General features: G+C 40.1%; 1 protein-coding gene across 8 annotated transcripts in view; it reads right to left on the bottom strand.

Moving 5' to 3' along the window:
• The window catches only part of STK39 (serine/threonine kinase 39), a 293,574-nt gene that overhangs the window by 177,788 nt on the left and 94,818 nt on the right, over positions 1–20,968 (bottom strand). For all 8 annotated transcript variants that reach the window (NM_001410961.1, NM_013233.3, XM_047443944.1 and 5 more), the window contains 3 exons: positions 8,840–8,949; positions 8,480–8,581; positions 6,279–6,412 (listed from right to left, as the gene is read on the bottom strand). In NM_001410961.1, the coding sequence (NP_001397890.1) occupies positions 6,279–6,412; positions 8,480–8,581; positions 8,840–8,949 (346 nt within the window). The remainder of the gene's footprint in view (positions 1–6,278; positions 6,413–8,479; positions 8,582–8,839; positions 8,950–20,968) is intronic.

Raw genomic sequence — 20,968 nt, forward strand, 5'->3', positions numbered from 1 at the left:
TTATTTTAATGTATACTCTTCCTGATCACCAGCAGATGTTTTTGCCTCTAGCTATTCCAAATTCATCCTTTCACTCTCTCAGTAAATATTAACTAAGCACCCACTGTTTGTCAGGCATTATGCTAGGTGCTAGGCATACTATAATGAAGATGGCAGACATAAATAATCCTCCAACAAGTCACAATCTAGCAGGTAAGAGCAGTGTGCTGCTCAACGGCAAGAGGGGCAGCAGCACATTCAAACACCTTGGAAGGAGAAGGGCTCCTGAGGGAACATGTAGTAGAAACACTTTACATTGGACTCAGAAATGGACCAAAATGTCATGTTTGGGAACCTCACAACATGAAACAACATTTTAAAAACTAAGAAGCATAGAAAATAACTTGGATTTTAATTTTTTTAATGTGAAAAGAACCCTAAGAAAATCAGAATGATGAAAAAACTCAAGGCCCTGGTTCTGTTTGAAGCCCTCATCATCTCTGGCTAATATAGTTAAATAAAACAGCCCCTCAGCTAGTGTCTCACTACTTCTCCCTTGCTATTTCCAACCCATCATCCACCAACCCCACTGCTTCGCAAATTAGCGTCTTAAAAAAAAAATCTGATCCTCTTTTATCTATCCTGATGCATTTCAGTGGCCTGAGACAGAAGCAAGTATTCTAGGCCCTGACTCCTCCATCCTCATCTCCCCACACCCGCCGGAGATGCCACCCTTCAACTGCAACGATGTTCTCACTCATCTCTTGATCTTTCGTGACAAAGCACACACTGCTTTTCTTGCTTCCAAATTTTTCATAACCAACTGGCACACCCTCGCTCATCAGTCAAGAGCCAATTTAAATGTCATCTTCAAAGATACCTCTCCTAGCTCCTGCAAGTAGAAGGCATTGCTCCCTAGTGGCACTCATGCACCATGCTACCCACATTCCCATCATGTATTTTTCTGTTCCTATGTCTCCCTGCCTCACTCCACTAGGATATGAGCCCTTCCAAGGCAGGGACCTCATAGAATTCCTTTGTATGTTTCCAATACCTAGCACAGAACAGAAACTGCTACAGCTCAATTTCATACTATAATCAAATATGGGGGAAAGTGATGCTGCTACACATTTGGACACAGCACTACAACTCCTGGAGCTAGATTCAGTTAGCACCAAAATCTATGCATCTGTTCAATACAGCGGGGAACAGGAGAAAGACTTAATGAAAATGAGACTCGTGCTAGCAAAAAAAGAGGACAGAGGAAGTGCCAACGTAAGGAGGCAAAGTGCCTCCCTGTCTCCTCTGCACCATCCCCCCACCAAAAATCCTCCTCCCCACACAGGAAGGGTCAAGTGTAGGATGCTGTAGAGAGAAAGCTGGGAAGTACCAGGGATACCTTGAGATACGGGGCTGGGAAAATACTTTGCCTTCTCCAGCAAGGTCATTGCCATGGTAACCAAAAATGTAAAAGGGAAAAGCATGCTGCAAAGAAAACTCCTTTCTCTGCACTCCACTCCACTCTCAGCCTTCATCAGTAAGTACAAAAACACAATAAGGTAACAAAATAGAATTGGTTTAAACAACCCGCCTTCTTTTTTTATTGGCTTAATTGTTAAGTAATAGGTAATTCCAACTTTACACAGAGAATAACTAAATAGCAGATTAGAGGTTTCTCTTTGCTCAAATCAGCTGAAGTGTTTATCACTTTGGGATAAAATCCTACATATGCCAAACTATCTCCATGAGAAAGAATGAAAGAATGGAACTGGAAGAAATTAAGAAAATGACAGAGGGGCCAGGAGCGGTGGCTCACACCTGTAATCCCAGCACTTTGGGAGGCCAGATCACTTGAGGTCAGGAGTTCAAGAACAGCCTGGCCAACATGGTGAAACCCCATCTCTGTTAAAAATACAAAAATTAGCCAGGCGTGATGGCGGGCACCTGTAATCCCAGCTACTCAGGAGGCTGAGGCAGGAGAATCACTTGAACCCAGGAGGCGGAGGTTGCAGTGAGCCGAGATCATGCCATTCCACTCCAGCCTGGGTGACAAAGCGAGACTCTGTCTAAAAAAAAAAGAAAATGACAGAGGGAAGACAGTGATAGGAAGTGTGAGAAAAGCTGAGGTCCTGCTGCCCATTTGATTTTAGGGTTTTTTTGGTTTTTATTTTCTCATTTATCTATTTTTATTTTATGCCATAGCAACTGCCAATGCCTGGCTAATGTGGAACCACCAGTACAGCCTACCTTTTAGCTGAGTACTACAGAAGAAAATTCTGCAAGCACAGTCACGTCTTACATGGCCACTAGCAAACATCAAACAATTCAGCATAATGTAAGTACAAACAGTTTTATGAGAAATGCTAAAATGTTACCAGCAACCAAAATAATGGTCCAGGCTTTGAACAATGATTCAATTTTAAATCCTTAAAAACAATGCAGCAGTCTGCAAGTAACAACATTCTCAGAAGAAAATCTCTTAAAGGATTCAGCTAATGCATATGGATGAACCAAAGTCCACTGAGACTTAAAATAATTTTCAAAAGATTCAAGATGAATATGATATAGTTTAAATAGTTCTAACAATTTGCATTAATAAGTTCCAACAGCCCTTTGACCTCAAGCAGAGCTGCTTTCCTCCCCACACCACTCCCCACAAAAGAAATATTCAAGTCATATTCCTTTCTTAAGGATTTATCAATGCAACATCATCCCCCTTGTTGCAAAAAAAAAAAAAAAAGTTGGTTCTTTTTACAGTTGCTAGCCATACAAAGCATGTAGTCTACAAGATTAAGGCTCTTTTATTTTTAAGGAATAGCAAGATGTTCTGGTATGCAAATATAAGCAACTCTCTGTCTACGTCAATGCAGAACACAGACTCAGACGAACCAAAGGTCTGCAACACCCCAGCTCCCTTTTATGAGGAAAGTCCCATGAGCTCTCATCGTTGACAAAAAAACACAGCCTACTCTCAGCGGCCTGAGAGTTGATGCATATGAGTGAATCTGTCCTGGTCACTGTTTTCTCGCAATATTTTTTCACTCATTGCTCATGAGGTACTCAGCAATACCAGGGCTTTGGCACCAGTAAACTTTCAGGTTACAGGTAGATGATCTACATTTAGGCAAGAGAAATAATAAAAATTGGCAAAAATTTTGCATTCACTCTTCAACCTACTCAAATCTGATTTCTGTTTATGAAACATTCTTCAACGGGTCCAAATCACCCCCAAATTGCAAGCTCCCAATCTCCAGTTGTTCAAGAAATGGTACTGAGTATATAATACAAACCAGACACTGGATATAAGGATAAGTGGCACAGGTTCTCCCAAAAACACTTATAAACTTTTGAGGAATTGGGGTGTGTAAATCAATAAGAGTACACAGTGTAATAAGTGCTACAAAAGACATATTTTCAACATACTGTAGTTATTGCATAAAAGTTTCAACAACTCCACTTGGTCAGAAAAAAAAAAAAGGCAAATAACGAATGGCAATCTTAATCTTGTGAGTACTTAGAGACTCCCTGGGCACTGTGCTATGAGTTTGAAGTGCCCACAGCACATTCTCTCTTCCCATCCTCACAGCGATCCTATGAAGTGGGTATTTTAAGGCCCACTGTACAGACAAGAAAGCTAAGCCATGCAGATGTTGATAAAGTAGAGCTAGGAATCCCACCCACAGGTATGTAACTCTAGGAGGATGTGGCATCTGAACCAAGCACAAAAAGAGGGATAGAAAGGGGACAGAGGAAGGGCAAGAACTCTCCAATGACAAAAGCAAAGGCAGAAAATATTCCTGGTTTCTTTTATTATTGTGCAGGAAATTCAATGTTTACTTATCAAATTAGTCATGAATTCATATGTTGAAATTGCATCCTATCTAAAAAGTAATTCAACAATGTTGCTTTTTTCCATTCTTACATTGCATAGATTTTTCCCCCCGCAAACTCAACCTACGTGTCTTTTCATTATAAGAAAGAGCTACCTGGGAAGGTGATGTGCCACTAACAGTCTATAGCTGCTTGGTATAGAGAACAATTGCACAATAGTGAGAACAAATTAAGTTACGGAGAAAATATCTAAAAGAAGACCTTAAAAGATTAATACTTTGTACATCAACAGTGTTTTTAAGAGAGTGGTCTCTGAAGGAAAGATTTGAAGATTTTGAATATATGTTATATGACGCTCTTCTAAAGGATTTTTTTTTTTTTTGGTGGAATAGAAGGAACCTGATATTTAAGCTCATATAATGAATAAAATCCGGAAAGACTTTCAAGATTATTAAGAAATAAAAATGGACCGGGTGCGGTAGCTCATGCCTGTAATCCCAGCACTTTGGGAGGCCAAGGCGGGCGAATCACGAGGTCAGGAGATCGAGATCATCTTGGCCAACAGAGTGAAACCCCGTCTCTACTAAAATACAAAAAAAATTAGCCTGGCGTGGTGACACACGCCTGTAGTCCCAACTACTCGGGAGAGTGAGGCAGGAGAATCACTTGAACCCGGGAGGTAGAGGTTGCAGTGAGCCAAGATCGCGCCACTGCACTCTAGCCCAGTGACAGAGCAAGACTCCGTCTCAAAAAAAAAAAAAAAAGAAAAGAAATAAAAAGGGTTTGTTAAATATAATGTATGTCAATCTAATTTGTTTTGACCAAATCACATACAAATCTCCTAAAGAAATACACTATTATATCATTAAGTACACTAACGATTCTACCCTACAGAACAATTTTCTTAAAAAACTGGAATTGTGTGACATTACAAATCACAACCACTAGGTGGAATCTCAATTACTGTCGTTCAAGAATCAGGAAGACCATCTATAATAACCTAGTACTAACTGGAAAGACAAGAACTTCTCTTGCTGGGCTATGAAGGATCAAATTCTGTTTTCTTGAAGATGTCAAAAAATTTTACTGGAGATGACACCAAATTCAAGGGGAAGATAAGCAAATGTTGGAAAACAAAATTAGAATCTAAGAGCATTTCACCCAAATGGAGGTTGAAGAAATAATCTCAATGAAAGATTAAAAAATTTTGGAAGGAAAACAAGCCCTATGAATCAAATATAAATAACAAATGAGATGTTTACATAGAAATAGTACACAGGTATGACAAAATAATCATCCCTTTTACAATAAATAATTCAAGATGGCTAATAGCAGTCTTCATTCCTGGCTCCATGAGAAAAGTGATTGATATGGAAAAGATTCAAGGCAAATTCAGCAAATGTAAAGGAATGAAGTGAGCAGCTACAAAGAATGGGTACAATTATGGAAACTGTGTTTAAACTAGAGAAGGCTTGCCTACTCAAACTGTAAGTTACTGTGTAAAGGCTTAACAAGTTTCATAAAAATTTAAGATCAAAATAAAGGAATCATTTCTAACAGCAGAGTCCTTCCCTGAAAAAGAAAGTTTCAGAAGAGAAGTCAGTTATTATGTTTTAAAATATAAGGATCAAATTGGATCCTCAGGTGGATTAGGATAGATAGGAACTTCTCAGAGGCCTCTCCTGGTCTATGCTAGGATAACACCACATACAACCAAGAACCCACAAAGGGACCTTACCCAGGCAAGGCCATTCACATAATTAACAATCTCCTCTAGGTGACAAAGAACAGTGGGCTCCATGATCACTAACCAGGATATTTCAAAGTCACAGAAATTAAGAAGGAAGAAAAGGAACTCAGAAAACAGACACACTACAGTGCAGGGCAATAACCCAAGAATAAATAGGAAACACTAATGTTAATTTAAAGCCATTTGCTTCTGTTTACATGATTAATCTTTTTAAGGTAAAAAATCTCCTTAATCTTCTTTACTGATAATCTTTTAAACAGCACCAACAACTTGTTCTGCAACTAACAGGAAGCTCATGCAAAATTCAATAGCTCTGCCTAGTTTAGACTGGAGCTAGCAGGATATTCAAATCCTGAGAGGTCAGTTCAACCTACACAGTGAAGAATATTAGCTCAGCTTCTGAATGCAGCACTGCCAATTTCTTTTGATTTCTGTTTTACTTCATTTCCTTTGATGACAGAGCCCACACTTAACAAGCACAGTGAATCTTGTTAACACCACAATTTTTCCTCTGCCTCTCCTTCGTTCTTCACCCACTTCTTTCCCTCTTGGACCCACACCGTCTTTCACTAACAGGTTGGAAATCTGGGGACCACAGCAGGGTTTCCCAGACAAGAAATACCTTTCCAGTGTCCTCACAAAGCCTTTCCCCATCTACAAACAAAGCTTTGTCATGGCTCAAACCAGGTCATTAACTCATCCACTAAGTTTCACTTACCTTTTGGAAGGATCTTTCTGAAGACACAGTGAAAGTAATTTTCTAAAGGACTTGCCGTACTTTTTCATCATTTCTTTATCCTCTACCCCTGTTTCCAAAGTGGGTGGATCATTTTGCAAAGTCAACATTAACACCTGCAGCAGAAACAAACATGAAGACAGAATCTCAGTATAGCAATTGCTACAATCTAGTTTTGAATTTTTCATAAAAGTGTAAAAAACCATCCTTGATTAGATACAAAGTGCTTTCCCATGATTTTAACTTTGCAGAAATTGTGTATTTAAAGTATTCATTACCACTGCAAATGTGTTCATGCCCCCTTTAACCTTTTTGTTATTCCATTGACAGAACTTACAAAACTTGCTCTATGTGTTAAGAATGATCCCGGACAGAGCTTTCTGGGAACTGGCTCGTGTACTGCCTTGAGGAGCACGTAGCTCCAGCACAGGCTAGTTGGGAAAGCGGGTGGAGGAGAAGAGAGAGGGCCAGCGAGGCAGTGACTGTTCATGTATACAGGTCATTCATAAGTAAGGAACTGCCTGTACTCAAGGCTTCTGTAACACATTACTAGCCCTAAAAATAAAACCACAACATCCCAGGAGGTAACATGATTTCCTTTAAAAAAATGAGAAAACATACAGAAAATTGCTAAAAGGCTTGGCAAAGCTGAGAGAGCAGGACACTGAAGGATAGCCAGAATATAACTGAGTTGCTAAAAACTGTCATCAAATCCAAAGTCCTTGCTGCTTTCGGAGGGGGACAAAACAAAATAAAATACAACTTTAAATCAAAACGGTAAAAATTCCACTCTTTCATACTAACTTCAAAAGTATTTGCTTTAAAAAAAAAGTGGAAAGTGTAGAAAACTACTAGCCTGTACAATCAATAAAACTCATTAATGCATAATTCAGCCTTAATTTATGCAAATGCTATACATGTCAAGCCTCTTTTCAAACACTTTCAGATGTGTGAATAGATGAAGCGTGAAAGTGACGGCTTATTGTTTGTGGAGGATAATAGCCCACAGGAGAAAGCGGGAGACTGGGAACTCTGAAGAAAAGTCCTAGAGGACGTCAGGCTGGGACAAGCAAGTGCGACTTTGAATTCAGGTGGGAAACACTGAGAAGAGGCAAAAGAAAGAAAATGAAGAAAGAAAAACTGAATAAAAGAAAAAATCCTTCAGCATTACTTCAGTGCTTTTTCTCCAAGAGGTCACTTCAATTGTTTACGCTTCAATTTTAAATTTTCTGCTAGCAAAATCCGGTATATGTACCCACACACACACAAATACACTAAAATCCTAACTATGTTAAAAAAAATTTATATATATATATATAAAAACAATAAAATGAATTACACTGAAACCTTAGTAGAGATTGTCTGGTTGATGAGATTACGGATGATTGTTTTTCTTCTTTAGTCTGAGTTGCACATCCAAACTTTCTACAATATGAGTATACTACTTCTTTTAATCAGTAAAACTCACTTTTTATTCTTGGGTTTTTAAAATAAATCCTCCCAAATTTTTCCAGTAACCATGAAACAATCATAGACCATACTCTATGTAAAATAGCATTATAATTTCACTAAACTATTTCAGCCTCAAAACAAAATCCAGTTGGGTAAATAAGCCCTGATACCACTATCTCAGAACTAAGAGAAATAATGAGGTATAAACCAGTTAAAAGAAGAGCAGAAACGTGAAAATAGCATCCTAAAAACACTGTGGCTCACTTATATCAGATCAGTTGCCAACATTACACTATAAGAGCAGGGGTAAAAATGTTGTAGTCCACTTAAAAAGAAAGAAAAAAAAAAGCTCTGAAAATCTGGGAAACCCATTTGCAGAGATGACATCACTATAATCTATTTTGAGATATTCTCTGGGAACCTGGCGTTGTTCTGCTATCAAAAGAGTAATGACCAGCATTTGTCATAGCTATCAACCTCCATCAACCAATCTGATAACATTATTTTCTTAACTCTGTGCTGAGACTATAAAGCAAGCTTCAAAGCTGGGAATTATGCTACTTTTGTCCTATTCTGTCCACTGAGAAAATCAGACAATGTTCAACTTGGCTGCGTTCCTCCATTAATTCTCCTCGGGTCTAAGAGAAGAATGAAGATGTTGAAGAGAATTAGAAAACAGATTCCGTCCAATCACATTTCAACCCCGATGTAGTATTTCCAATTGTAATTACTTTCATGGGAGGATATTTGTGATAAGGCGCTGCTCCTGTTGCTAATTCAATGGCAGTTATTCCAAAACTCCACATGTCAGCCTTGAAGTCATAGCCTCTCACCTAAGAAAGAAAGCAGGAAAAAAACACAATCATACAGCAGGCATGTTACACATCATCAAGTCCATGTCATGTCAGAAATCCACAGCTGTTGATGTATAACTTTCACGTTAGTTTGCTAATTAGCTAGCAATTGAGAATTAAATCTTAGTTACATTATGCATTCTACTAAAATGCTAGATACAAATGAAATGTTAGCATATTAATGATCTGTACGATTGTACTATGTCCATCAAAAAGTCACTTTTTTTGTTTTTTTACCTGTTCCATGACTTCAGGAGCCATCCAACATGGGGTGCCAACGAATGTTTTTCTTACTTTATTTCGGGTAACATCACCCCCTGTTGCTAGGAACGCACTTACCCCAAAATCTGAAAGGGAAAAAAAAATCACCTTTATTTTATGTAAGACATTATTGCTTATAAATTGTGATTTTTTGAGCATGTCTCTTCTTTGTGAGCTTTACAGTGGTGATGAACTATTCCAAACATGTCTACGGTGCTCTCTCAGGAAAAAAAAGGAAGACCTGCCCTCTGCTATCCCCTACACCTTGGAGAATACCATCGCTGGTAATGGGCCACAAGCCTGCCGGTCCAAAAGCTTAGCATACCAAATTAAATATAAAGGGTGTTAGCTTTTAGCTGAGGTATATAAAGATAAGATATATAAAGCCAACATGCCCGAGTATGTCCATATGCAAAAAAGCTTAGTCAGCAAAGACTGATTTTCTGGACAATTTTCATAAGTACAGAGGCAATGGATTGTACAAGTAAATAATATTTTTCTTAACTTTAACTCATTATATATAGAAGTTAATTTTATAAGAAGATGAATTAATTAGGCATACTGTACAGATTGAGCATCCGGAAATGCTTGCGACCAGAAATGTTTTAGATTTTGGATTTTTTCTCATTTTAAAATACTTGCATTATATACTAAACTAGTTAAGTACCCCTCATTCGAAAACCAGAAATCTGAAATGTACCCGTGAACATTTCCTTTGAATGTCACCTCACATTCAAAAAGTTTCAGAATTTGGAACATTTGAGATTTCACATATTCTGATTTAGGGATACTCAACCTATATATACATACAGGCACATGTGTAAAAATTCTATTTGTATGTACAGTACAGAAGGGAATGCCTGGCAATTATTAACGTACTATTCTTGCTTTCATTTTTACACAGTGGTTAAAAGTAGTTGATAAGTTAAAGTACCAATTACTCAAGACTAGTGTACCTATCAATGATAGCCAGGTCAAGGACTACTTGATAGCGAGCTGGTGGGTAGTAATAAAAACAGGTAGGCAACACATCAAAACACCACAGCGCAATGTGCAGTCTGAGCCCCTGCAAATCGCTCTCATACGCTTTTCCTTTGCGAGTCCCCCTTGTTGGCTGTCAGGGTGACAGCAATTACCAAAAAACACCCTCAAGTACAAACCAAGGTCAAAATGTATTAGCATTTGCTGTAGGCCTATAAGGTTAGTTTATGCAATTGTAACTTAATAACATTGTAACTGGTTTCCTGAGTAGAAATACATTGAATGTTGCATTTTATTTATATTTAAATTTACTCATACTCCCAACAGGATTTCAACTACAAATAAAAGGAATGAAAATTGACAAATGGAGTCTTTGTTCCAACTGCTACTCTCATGTTCATATTGAATAAAAGTATATATGTTTAAACTGCTAAATAACTTAATATGCATATATGTTTCCAACTCTAAAGCCCTTTTAATTCTTATACTGCAGCCAGAAAACTGAAGTCTTGTGAAAAGAAATCTCTGGAACCAGTCAGTCTCCTGTGGGTGGGAGAAGATACAATTCATTCTCTTAGAGAAGAGTTAGGTGAATTAAAATATTTGTAAGCATCTACTATATCTGCTGGAAAAAATATATATGATAAAACTTTGAAAGCTACTAATTTCAACTTAATTTATATTTCTAAAAAGAAGTTCAACGATGAATCCAACATTTCATTTTTATTAAAATGATTTTATAATATAATATGAAATAAATACATATCATCTATAAATTAAGGATACAGGTAAAAGCTGCTTTAAGGAAAAATTGATTATTTTAAATGCAATTGAAGCAACTCTGCACCCTAAAGTCTCTTCCTAAAAGACATAATCCAGGTAAAAATCCATAGTTAACATTAGATATATTTCCACTTCCTTAAAAATACTACCTGCTTACATTACACATTTTAAAAAGTTAGAAAACAGCCGAAAAAGATGTATAGTAGCCATTTATTATTGACAATACCCTTTCAATATATCTGTAATGATACATACATTCAGAGCCTCCACTTTGAACACTCACTTTAAAGTCATAAACAGATGGCTAAATGTCTTTAAAACTCAGAACAAAAATTTCAGGAGCAGAAAACAACAATCCTAATATCTACTCCCTCTATGACTACAGAAGAAATATACAATTTGCTCCTATGTACGGCTGATGTGTATACAGATTATATGTACTCAGTAACAGAACATTTTGAGCAAAGTACATAGTGTGCTTATGTTATATACACAAAAAATTGGTATATTATATTGAGATAGCTTGCATATGACAGTTAGAACAAGGTGGCAGAACTGTAACAGTGAAAAGCTGTCCTTGTTTCCTAAGGGGTACATCTATACAGCCAAAGGGAATGCAGCCAGATTCACTTGGGTACAAAACCACAGACATTTCTCTAGAAACACAGAATCAAAGGCTACACATAAAGTTAGCCAGTCCATCTCCCTGCCTCCAGGAATAACTGGAGGATATGGGTAAATGCTGCTTTAAGAAAAACAACAACAACAACAAATAATGCTGTCATCCTAATAACAAAAAGGGTCTAAGACCTTCTGAATCCATCCACTTCTTTGCTCCTCCACAGCCACTGCCTTCATTTAATCCACCACTACTTCTTGCTAAGATTTCTGCAGCAGCCTCCTAAGTTCCCATCTCCCTTCTTTCCCCAGATCCAGGCTCCAGCAACCAGGCCTTTCTATGTCACAGGCCTGAGCCCTCCTTAAAAGACTTTCAGGACAGGAGCGGTGGCTCATGCCTGTAACCCCAGCACTTTGGGAGGCCAATGCAAGTGGATCACGAGGTCAGGAGTTCAAGACCATCCAGGCCAACATGGTGAAACCCCATCTCTACTAAAAAAATACAAAAAATCAGCTGGGCCTGGTGGCACGCGCCTGTAGTCCCAGCAACTCTGGAGGCTGAGGCGGGGGAATCGCTTGAACCCAGGAGGCGGAGGTTGCAGTGAGCTGAGATCATGCCACTCCACTCTGGCCTGGCAAGAGAGCAAGACTTTGTCTCAAAAAAAAAAAAAAGTCTTTCAAGGCTCCCTGTCCCCTCAGGAAAAAGTCAAAATCCTTCAGCATAACACGTAAACCTATATCACTACTCTCAGATTCAGACAGTAAGCTCCAGCCTACTGAATGACTTACTTTTTATTCCCTGATCCCATCACCTCCTTGGCCTCACCAGCATTGCCCTTGCACATGATGCTTTGTCGTCTAGGTACATCAACCCTCCATGCTGAACAGGTGCACCAGCAGAAGGCTTTCTGCATGACCTTGTTAATGACACAGCATCTCCGGCACCCTGGCTCTTGGTGAGTAATTTGATGTGCATTCATCACCTTTGCGTAATTTGATTTCAGTAACATTGGTCATGGTCTAGTTTTGATGTGTGAATGCTACTAAGCCTTGAGGAGGATCTGCAGGTATGGTTATCTGATTTGGAGAGTGGCAGATCTACTAGGAAACATTACAGGACTAATGGGCAAGATCTGAGTGTTAACAGTGATTAGGCCTAAGGCTAGACTATTACCCAACTGTATGACTCCCGAAAGGGACTTAAACTTTCTGGGCCTTATTGGGCTTCTTATTTAGGCCTATTTTTATTTATTTATTTTATTTTTTTGAAACAGAGTCTCGCTCTGTCGCCCAAGGTGGAACATAGTGGCATGATCATGGCTCACTGCAGCCTCAACCTCCCATGCTCAAGCGATCCTCCTACCTCAGCCTCCCAAGCAGCTATGACTACAGGCATGTGCTACCATGCCCATCTAATTTATTTTTATTTTTTGTAGATATGGGGTCTCTCTATGTTGCCCAAGGTGTTCTCAAACTGTTGAGCTCAAGCGATCCTCCTGTCTCAGCCTCCCAACGTGCTGGAATTATAAGCATGAGCCACCATGCCGAGCCTCAATTTCTATATTACTTTCATATTTATAAGACTCATTTTTTTTTTTACCATGTATGACTATTCTTTATAACAACTGTTAGGTAGATCGATAAGCTACTCACTGCCTTTTCATAAGCAAGGCAAGCAGGCTGAGGGGATAAGCATAAATATTTTACAGTGGCAGAGATAAAATAGGAGAAGACATGTTTCTTGACTTCAACAATATTTGTCGGGCATGATAGTTCATTAGGTGGGTGCGGTGGCATGCAACTGTAATTTCAGCTACTCAGGAGGATGAAATGGGAGAATCGCTTGAGCCCAGGAGGTCGAGGACGCAGTAAGCCATGATCATGCCACTGCACTCCAGTCTAGGCAACAGAGTGAGCCCGTCTCAGAAAAAAAAAAAAAAGAATATTCCCACCTAAGTAGGATAAGATGTATAAAATCAAATACTATATTGTCTGTGTAGAAGCAGAGGAGCTATAACCATAATGGTCATAGAAGACTATCTCCAAAGTGGGTCTTGGAGCCAGCCTTCAAGATGAGGTGAAGACTTGGATGAGCAAGTCCAACAGGAAACAAATTCCAGACAAAGAAACGGCATGAGCAAAGCACAAGTGTGGAGCCAAGAAGAAAAACTGACAGCTGCAAGGGTCAAAAACTCAAAACACCTACAGCAGCCAGGCAGGAATACAATGGAGAAAAGAGGGTCCTGAAAAACAACAGCTACAGTCTCAGTGACAAGGGCCCTTGATGCTCAGTCTCTGTGACGGGAGACTTTAGGAGTGCTGGGCCCTGTGTGAAGCCCTGGAGCCCACTGTCAGCACCCTCCCACCAAGGTCCAAGGCAGGCCCCTGCTGCTTGGCACCAGAAGAAAGTTGCCATAGAGAAATGTAGACCCAGGATTGCTGGATATCCCAGTTTTCCCAAAAAAGCCAAACATTGGAATCTTTATGAAAAAGCTCCCTTTCTTACTGTAGTTGGCAACAAATTCATTTTTAAAAAAATAGAAAAGCGATTTCTCCTGCCTAATTTAGTCCGCAAAACTAAAGTCTGCCAACTGTGTGGTTATGATGTCTAAAATGTACCTAAAATACTTCAACATATGCCATGTGATATTATGTTTGTGATACCACAACCTAGGTGGTCAGCTGGCATTCTAACCAAGAATGTCCAGTGCTGGGGGGGTTCTGATAGCACTCGACTCAGGATGCCAGAGGCAGCTGCTGGAAGTATTTCTATTATCCAAATCTAAATATAGATGAGCATAAGCCAGGTGACTGATTGTCCAAAGGGGTTATTATTAGGGAAAACAGTGACCTGTTGAGAGGTATGATACATGTTAGAAATGGGCTTTCACTGCTGAAAATAAAGGTTCTTAGCACCAGAGAGTGGCTAAAATATTTTAGATATACTCCTTACTCTTGCATGAACAGAATAAAACAATCCAGTCCAGTCCAACTGTAGACTATACCCTAGCCAGTTCTGTGGATGGTTGGATTCCTAGTAGCAAGCATAAGGATAAAGCAAAAACTGCATCTGGAATCTTGGCATGTCTGCCTCTAATGAATTTTTCATTCACCTATGAGGAAAAAGAACTGGGATTTCCTTGAGCTTACAGAACAAATTGTGAGAACTGTTTAGGGGCTTGCTTGCTAATGAAGGGCAAAATTTGGTCTGAAAGTTGATTTCTCTAAAACCTGTAAGGGAAGCTGTGGGTGAGTACCCAAGCCTCACCTACCTCAAACTTCTACAGTATCTGCTATTCTCTTTGAAAAGGAACCTGAGTTGTGCATGAACAACATTGACTCTCTTTGATCAGAGAGTAACGGGATCAATGTTTGAGAGTTCAGAGCTTCCTAAAATGTAGCTACAATGAGTTAAAAGAGACACTGATGCCTAAGTGGCTGGGTGGGAGTCTGGAGCAATAGGAGCCCCCATAGCTTCAGGGGACCCTGAGAGTTCTTTCCTACAAGCAGCTTCTTTTCCACAGAGGCCATTATTTTTAAAAGCAGGGAAGTACTGGGTGAGATTGTTGAGGGGCCCAACCAACCACAGAGTCTGAGCACCAGGTAAGGGAATTTGTACCTGATTCAATTAACAGCTGTTGTTCCCTCTCTCGTTAGAGAAGAACAACATTTGGAAAAAGTGACCATGCAGGGATGTTCAAGAAAGGAAAAAGACTAGAAGCAGAGAAGACCACAACCATAGCCCAGGAGCAAAATCAACAGAGCCTGTATATGAATAGAGAGGTTGGAAATGGAGAGGATTAGACCAATTCTTAAGAAAATACGATGATTTAGTAGATATTGGAATTAAGAAAAGAGGAAGGAATAAAAAGATTAGATGACTTGCCAAGGAACACACAGCAAGTTATCGAAGGTCTGAATAAAATTCACAGTCCTTCAGAAAGGAGTCAGCCACTTAGCCCTAGTCTCCTCTTCCGGAAAGTTCAGTGTATTTTTCTTTATTGAGAAGGAAATGCAAAATGCAATAATGGGGTTAAGATTCCGCAACTCCTAAGCTCTTCTCTGAGTAAAGATCAAGTTGTGATTACCCAACACAGAAAAACTGGTTTGAGGTTCACTGGTTAATCCTAAATGTCATATTTATATCATGAAAACCTATCTCTTTATAATTTGGTTTGATTCCCAGTTGTTGTTTTTTTCTCATGAGAGACTCTCAAGACTTGACTGACAAAATTGAAATGTTCTTCTAAACACCCGGGAACATTTTCAGGGCTGCCAGCATCCGGCCTTCCCGAGTCCCACAGGTTTCCTTAAAATGTTATACCACCAACGTTGGATGATTAAAGAAGTACATTGTGACTTCAGTTATGCAAACTGTATAATAATGAGTAGAAAACAGAAGCAAATATTTTCTTAATTCTGTTGGGAACAGACTAAAGAGAGCATTTTTTTTAACCATGTATTTCCTTATTTTCATATTATTTTTGTACTAGGATGTGTGTCAGTGGTGCAGCACCTACTTATGCCCGGTACACATGGGTGTGCACAATTGTGTACATGCACGGAGTGGGTTTAGATACCACAGGCTAACAGAGTTTTGATTTAGACATAATCCTGGCCTTGCAGTGAGAGCTAACATGGGGGAATATATTAACTAAAATAGAATGACTATGACATGACCTAAACAACATAAATACAAGAAACATGCTAATGGGCCCAGTATACTACACTCAGCACTAAAAGCACCATCTTCTGCTGCTAATTCCCAGGGCCCTTTCACCCGATTTTCTTGGTGAAAGAAGAAAAACACAGACCAGGGAAAGTCAGGGCTTTAGCAGTTAGCAGTTACAGAATCAGAGGCATGCCTCTTCCAACTGCAATCCAGACTTACTTATTACATCCAGATTAATCTTCCTAAAGTGCAGTTTCTGATCATAGCACTCTCTGGTCAAAATCCTTCTCCCTCCAGGGCATTTGAGAATAACAAGAAAGCTCATCCTAGGCCATAATTCAGCATTTATATGGAAGCCAACAGGATTCTAGTATTGTTTCCTTCTGATTGCAATGCTTATTCAATTATGGTATACTTTAGCAAAGTGCTTTCGCTCCCTTAACTGACCAAATCACCATTTCTGCTTTAAGTTTATGTATAATTAAATCCAGCCTTTGGATACTAATACTTCTGTTTGTTTTCTTTTTGTTTATAGAGGAAATAGGCACAACTTTTTTCCTGGAGCCTGACCATCATCAGAATGTCACCAGACCTCTGGGCACTGAAAGCCAACTCTGAGTGCAAACTGGGAGGGCCACCCCTTCCCTCCAACCTACTAGGAAACCCTGCAATCCAAAGCAGGAGAAAGCTTTCTGCTGTCCTGACTCAAAGGAGGCAGAGGGATAACTTAAGTCTTCCAGGTGGACGTTGCGCTTCTGGGCACCTGCGCTGTGCTCAGCAGAACACAGCATAGCTCAGAGCAAGAAGAAGAGCAGAAAGCTCAGCAGGACAAGTCAAGATGCAACAAGACCGGCAGCAGCAGCCACCCACACTCACTGAGCTGGCTTCCTTCTTGAAATAATGCCACTTTGCACATAGGAGTAGTTTTCCTTCTATTATTATAGTGGTATTCCAGCACACCCACGGCCAAAGAGGCCAGATAGCAACGTGTGTGATGTAACATATGTGGCCCCTATTCAGAGGCATACTGTGGGATCCTGATTCTAGTAAGTCTGCCATCAATAATCCCTAAAACTAACAGAAAGAAGACAGGCTGCAAGGGAAGACACAGTGCATACAAAGGAGCCATGTTTCCGCTCCAAAGAGGTGCTTTAAAATTGAACAGGCCTGAATGTTAAGTCCCAATGACACTCCCTGCTCGTTTCCTTCTTTGAGCAACAGGTCCTCAAGCTTTACCATGAGGAGCTTAGAATATGATAACTTCTCAGTATCAGTTCTTGGAGCACACACTGTTGGCTGACTACCCAACATCCATATCCTGTTCTTTCCTACCAGAATCTTGATTTTGTTTGCCAGGCCTTGGGAGATTCACCTTATTGATATAAGCCAATAATGGCATATGGTTCTTTTTCACCAGTGAATGGTCTGTGGCTCTGCCCTAGTCCTGACCTGTAAGATCCAAAGGTAGTAATACAGTACAGGCCCTTGCAGTGAAGTTTTTCTCCTGAATAAAATAACCATCCTACAGGGCTCCTTTGCTCCCCATTCTCCTTCCTGTTTGAGAATGGTCATGTGAAGAGGTGATGCTGGCAGTGATGACAGCCCATGAAGATGTGATGTATGGGAGTGATACAGCCCATGCTGGCAGGTGCTGCCCAATCCCCACTGGCAGTGCAGAAGTGGAAGAAGGAAAGAGTCCATGACCTCTGTGACATCTCTAGGTCCCCTGCACCAACTATGAAACCAAATGCCCAGACTTCTTGCTACGTGAGATAATTAACGTTTCTGCTGCTTAATCTCCTTTCAGACCAGTACTCTGTTATTTGTACCCAAAGCCTTCTTAACTCTTACAGTCTCCTGCCTTTCCTCAGTCTAGCCACACTGATTCACACTTCCTGACTGCTAAGGGTTAACCATTGCATCAGAGGCCAAAGTCACTGCAATCCCCAAAAGGACTTGGTAAAAAATTAGCAAGAAAACCGTTTAGCACACAGTGCAATTTTGGATTTTAAAACAGCTCCAGTATCAAGCATGGCTTTTCATGCCAGAAGCACAAATTAAAATAAGTAAATGCAGAGGCATCTCAAGGGGGAAGAAAACATACTGCAAGAAGAATCTAATTCGCTTTTTTGCCAGTAGTTGCTGCTGGGGCTATATTTACATAAACCTACACCAAAGAAAATAGCACACTTCTAGGAAAATAGGAAACAGAAGTAAGTTCGACATCCTAGTCTAGACCCTTGTAATTCAAAGTGGGGTCCATAAACCAGACCAGCATTACCTGTGAGGCTTTAAATGCAGAATCTTGAGTCCCACTCTAGACCTACTGAATCAGAATCTGCATTGCAGCAAGATCCCCAGCTGACTTGAACGCACATCGAAGAAGAGAAGCACTACTCTAGATTACTGTCCTCCTAGCAGGCACTATGGCGTGATTCAGTGGGACTGGAAGATCTCAATGCACAGCCAACTCCACAGGTTCCTCTTTCACCTCTCAGATGAAGAGAACCATGGCAGTCGAGGAAGCGTAGCAGGAAAAAAGTAGTTAAGTGTGCATGTTCATGTATCTTATGACACAGTTAGTCCAAGGGCAATTCTAAAAACATAAATCATATCCCACACAGAATTGTCTAACCCAGCGATTCTCAACTATGTCTCATATGTGCAGTAGAATAAATTCATATACATGGCACACCTCTTTGGGAATACACAGATTTTTATGAAATCTTTGTTAAGTGCATGAAAATAATTTATAATCACAATACTTACTAACAGTTTATCAGTAACAGTTGCTCACTGCAGGTGTGATGGTACTGGGAGAGAGGCTATAGGTAAACATGATTCTTTGCACAGATTTATGTGGCACTACTCCTTTCTCTCTCATTTGTGAAAACCTCTAATGAATTGTGTAAGGGTGATATCAGGTTGGTGCAAAGGTAATTGCGGTTTTAAATTAAAAGCAATGGCAATAACCACATTACCTTTGCACCAACCTGATATCATATTATTAGAGTGATAACCTTGAATCTGCTTACCTTTTAAGCAAGTCAATAAATATGTTGGCACTTTACTATTAGTAATCAGTTATTCACACACCACTACATATTGGGACACACCACCCATCTTGCTTGGGAGAGAACCTGGTACCCCAAGAGGAACCATGTAGAACCAAAGAGGTTCTTCTGACACCCTCACTCCCACCCAATCCCTTCCCCTCACCCCACATCAGGCTCCTGGTTTTCATTTCTATTTATTCCTTCTTGAAAGCAAATGGTGCTCAATGGCCTTGTTTGGCTCTATATGCCATGGGCCCCAACCATGGCATGGTGTCCAAGTCATTCACAGTCAAAAAAACATAATCCTACAGTATTTCCTGAGTCTAGGCCCTAGAGAGTCACTTATCAAATGCTCTAGTCACTTATCAAATCCATCTTCCCTATCTATTAATGAGGGAGCAGTAGTCATAACCTTCTTTGAAACATCAGAGAATGACAGTTTCACAGCCTTTTCTGACAACAAAAGAAGAAATCATAAGACAGTCCATAAAGGTAGAGTTTCATCTTTTAAAATAAAAGAAACACAAAGAAGCAAGCCTTCCCATGACTGGGGTCTCATATGTAGACTCTTGACATTGCCATCAACCAGTTTCCTTCAAATAGGCTACATCCTTTGCACCTTCTACAAGGAATCAAATCAATTCACGATAGAAAAATTGAAAGAAAAATTCAGGCCAGGGACGGTGGCTCACTCCTGTAATCCCAGCATTTTGGGAGGCCGAGGCAGTCAGATTGCAAGGTCAGGAGATCGAGACCATCCTAGCTAACACGGTGAAACCCCATCTCTACTAAAAACACAAAAAATTAGCCAGGTGTGGTGGTGGCACGTGCCTATAGTCCCAGCTACTCGTGAGGCTGACGCAGGAGAATCGCTTGAACCCAGGAGGTGGAGGTTGCAGTGAGCCGAGATCACGCCACTGCACTCCAGCCTGGGCGACAGAGTGAGACTCGGTCTCAAAAAAAAAAAAAAAAAATTCAACAGGATTCTTGGTAAAAACACAGAAGCTGCTACTCCCTCCCCAATTCCTCAGCCATTCTCTCAATCAAGACACCACAGGCTTAAAAGGGACAAAAAGAATAAGTGGTGGTCAATGCCAATTATATTTGGCTCAAAGTTCAGTTGACTGATACAGTCAATTAGCCACAGCAGTGGAGAGGACCAGTTGAACAAAATGGCAAACCACAGATAATCTGCCCATCTATGTCAGAGCTACAGAACCCTTGCCCCAAAGCAGGTGAATTTTCAGTAAGAAGTAGAGTCACTGGTCACACCTGGAGCAGCAACAGAAGGGAAGGCTGGAGCAGGAGTCCCAGCCCAGATGTGCTGAAGGTTCCAGGCCAAGAGACAGCTTTTTCAAGAGTTCACTAGTGGTCAACTTTCTATTAAATAAGATAATTACACTGAACAAAGGAAAAACACAGATAATTCCCACACCACATATCCATTCTTCCCTGGATCCCCAATGTGGGGTGGGAGGACTATTTTTAAAGATGCTCTGGTAAAAGCAGCCACAGGACAGAGGCTTGGCTTACTCTCCTCTCTACACCCAAGACAATCCTCTGATTTGAATTCTTCAAAACAGTACTGAGAATGTCTTTAAGTGACTGCAGCTAATGAAGGGTTATTTGAACATTTTGATGCAAGATAGGTCCTTGGAGAACATCTTGTCAATCTTCCTTACTTTACAACGGAAGGAACTGAGCCCCGGCGCTCCTCAACCGTCAAAAGGCATAGAGTTAAGAAGTATATTGGTGGGGTAGGGGTGAAACCTAATGGCAAGAAGCAAAAGTGAAGTCTGAGGAGATTTGAGAGTGAAGTGCTTTTATGACTTTCAGAATGACCTTAAACAAGTCCACAATTGCTCAGCAGTCCTCAGATGCTTCATCTGAAGGAACTATTGTGCTGAACTGACAGAGTTGCTGTAAGGAGAGCACCAGGTAAGTATATTATACAGGTATTATTGTTTCCCAAGCCAAAGGCAAGCTTCTAAAGTC

Source organism: Homo sapiens, chromosome 2 (genome assembly GCF_000001405.40).
Source record: "Homo sapiens chromosome 2, GRCh38.p14 Primary Assembly".
Classification (NCBI taxonomy): domain Eukaryota; kingdom Metazoa; phylum Chordata; class Mammalia; order Primates; family Hominidae; genus Homo; species Homo sapiens.